The sequence below is a fragment of the Homo sapiens genome, chromosome 3 (genome assembly GCF_000001405.40).
Source record: "Homo sapiens chromosome 3, GRCh38.p14 Primary Assembly".
Classification (NCBI taxonomy): domain Eukaryota; kingdom Metazoa; phylum Chordata; class Mammalia; order Primates; family Hominidae; genus Homo; species Homo sapiens.
Window position 1 is genome coordinate 106,166,513 of NC_000003.12, and position 3,369 is coordinate 106,169,881.

The window sequence follows — 3,369 nt, forward strand, 5'->3', positions numbered from 1 at the left end:
ACATCTTACATAGGGCTAATATCCAGAATCTACAAAGAATAAAACAAATCAGCAAGAACAAAACAAGCAATCCCATCAAAAAATGGGTTAAGGACATGAATAGATTATTCTCAAAAGAAGATATACAAATGGCCAACAAGCATATGGAAAAATGTTCAACATCATTAATGATCAGGGAAATGTAAATCACAACCCCAATGTGATACTATCTCACTCCTGCAAAAATGACCATAAGCAAAAAATTAAAAAAAAATAGATGTTGGTGGGGGTGCAGTGAAAATGGAACACTTTTACACTGTTGGTGAAAATGTAAACCAGTACAACCACTATGGAAAACAGTGTGGAGATTCCTTAAAGAACTAAAAGTAGAACTACCATTTGATCCACCAAGCCCACTACTAGGTACCTACCCAGAGGAAAAGAAGTCATTACATGAAAAAGACACTTGCACATGCATGTTTATGGAAGCACAATTTGCAATTGCAAAAATATGGAACCAGCTGAAATGCCCATCAGTCAGTGAGTGGAAAAAGAAAATATGATATATATATATATATATATATATATATGGAATATATATGGGATACTACTCAGCCATAAAAGGAATGAAATAATGGCATTCACAGCAACCCGGATGGAGTTGGACACTGTTATTCTAAATGAAGTAACTAGGAATGGAAAACAAAACATCGTATGTTCTCATTAATATGTAGAGATAAGCTATGAGAATGCGAAGGTATAAGAATGATATATTGGACTTTGGGGGCTTAAGGGAAAGGGTGGAGGGTGGCAAGGGTTAACAGACTATATATTGGGTACAGTGTACACTGCTTGGTTCATAGATGGGCCAAAATCTCAGAAATTACCACTAAAGAACTTATTCATGTAAACAAACCCTGCCTGTTTCCCAAAAACTTATTGAAAGAAAAAATAATTTTTTTAAAAAAGAATGCATTTATCCCTTAACGTATAACATATAAAACGTGTAAAACCTCACTCATCTAATGTAAATTCTCTGGCAGAATATGATTTTTAACTGGGCAATGATGCTAGAAAATATACTATGAAGTGGAATATGAGAAATAAGTTCTAGATACCTTTTAAATAATGTTGGGAAAATTGTAAAAATAAATTACATGTTTCATAGCTTAGCTCTCCTCATGTAATGGGCTTATCCTGGAAGTACTGAAATTCCTTTAATTTCCATATACTATACTTTGTTCCAGAATAAAAGTGACCCAGTTCTTTTGCACCACCGCAAAAACAAACAAACAAAAAAAAAATTAAAAAAAAAAAACTCAAAAAATAACGGATGCTGGTGAAGCTGCGAAGAAAAGGGAACTCTTATACTCTGTTGGTGGGAATGTAAATTAGTTCAACCACTGTGGAAAACAGCTTGGAGGGTTCTTTGAAAACGAAAGCCAGAACTACCATCTAACCCAGTAATCTCTTTACTGCGTATATACCCAGAGGAAAATAACTGATCTGCCAAAAAGACAAGCATTCATATGTTTGTCGCAGTACTATTCACGATAGTGAAAACATACAATCAACATAGAATCAACCTAGGTGACCAGCAACAGCGGATTGGCTAAGGAAAATGTGGTACATATACACCATGGAATATTATGAAACTATAAAAAAAGAACAAATTTATGTCCTTTGCAGCAACATGGATGCAGCTGGAGGTCATTATCCTAAGTGAATTAACACAGAAATAGAAAACAAAATACCTTATGTTCTCACGTATAAGTGGGAGCTAAATACTGGATATACATGGACATAAAGATGGGAACAATACACACTGGGGACTACTAAAAGGGGGAGGGGAGGGGAAGCAAAGGTTGGAAAACTGCCTATTGGATACTATGCTCACTACCTGGGTGACAAGTTCATTTATACCCCAAACCTCAGCATCATACAATATACCCTTGTGACAAACCTGTGCATGAACCTTCTAAATCTAAAATAAAAGTTGAAAAATAAAAATAGTAATGAAAGAAAGAAAGAAGAGTCAGCAGGGCATGGTGTCTCATGCCTGTAATCCCAGGACTTTGGGAGGCCGAGGTGGGCAGATCACGAGGTCAGGAGTTCGAGACCAGCCTGACCAACATGGTGAAACCTCGTCTCTACTGAAAATACAAAAATTAGCTGGGCATGGTGGAGTGCGCCTGTAATCTCAGCTACTTGGGAGGCTGAGGCGGGAGCATTGCTTGAACCCGGGAGGCAGAGGTTGTGGTGAGCTGAGATCGTGCCATTGCACTCCAGCCTGGGCAATAAGAGCGAAACTCCATCTCCAAAAAAAAGAAAGAAAGAAAGAAAGAAGAGTCAAACATTTACTGTTTTTCGCTTCTCTTTAGAGGGCCCAATTCTTTTACATATAAGGATAGAACAAATTCTATGACATTTAAATTAGAAGAAAAGAAGCAATCTTTGCATATTAGGCCCTGCCCTTGATTTATTATGTGATTTCTGGTAGAAAAAAATTTCTTCTTCTATATCTCTGACAAGAGTACTATAACATGTTTCCTGCTTACAGCTACACAAAACTCCCCTAATGGGAATACTCCATTTAGGATTATGCAAATGGTGAACCTGTGGGCATGTTTGACAAAGCTCTCAACATTCCATGTCAATGTCCTAACCAGTTAACGTTAAGCACATGACTTAACAGATTTTCAAATGTGAACAGGATCTGCTTCTATTGTTTATTAAAGGCAAGCCTGAACAACCTCTTACTCTGATTGAGGAACATCGGTATTGACAGAAGAAAAGCCTAATGGCCTATTTGAGAACCAGAGTTGAGTGAAATTTCCGTTTCCACTTTTTTAAATGAAGGACTCTCTTTAGTTCAATATATATTTCCAGTGTGGTTAAAGTGAATACTTTAATACCATTTTAAAGGAAAAATCAAGAATCTTTGCTATTCTGCTTCATAAAGAATTCACAAAGGGATCAACTTAGAGAAAATAAAGATTAAATAATCGTGGCTGGGGTTAGTGCCAGGAAAATGGGTCACTTATGAATACATACACAGTCACTCATTCAACAAATATAGACAGACCCTGCTATTTGTAAATTAAATTATATAGCTCCCTCAATTGCCTATATTTTAATGGGATGGGAGAATACAAACAACTGTCATTTTACATAATAATAGAAAACGATTGTAGGAAAAATACTGAAAGGAAATGACAATATAGTGTATGATTAAAAGTACCAACTAGATGTTCATAGGGAAAGTTATGACAGAGGAAATCATGATTTAATTGGACCCTAGAAAACAACAAGGAATTGGATTAGAGGAGCAAAGGTCTTTGAGTTTTCTTTCCTATTTAAGATGAGGACAAAACAAACAAAAGAGCATGT

General features: G+C 36.1%; 1 annotated feature.

Moving 5' to 3' along the window:
• Positions 2,418–2,942: an enhancer, noted in NCBI's record as "NANOG hESC enhancer chr3:105887777-105888301 (GRCh37/hg19 assembly coordinates)". NCBI's record gives its function as "activates a minimal SCP1, AML or CMV promoter by ChIP-STARR-seq in naive and primed H9 embryonic stem cells {active_cell/tissue: H9 hESC(naive and primed)}" and the evidence as "EXISTENCE:reporter gene assay evidence [ECO:0000049][PMID:30033119]".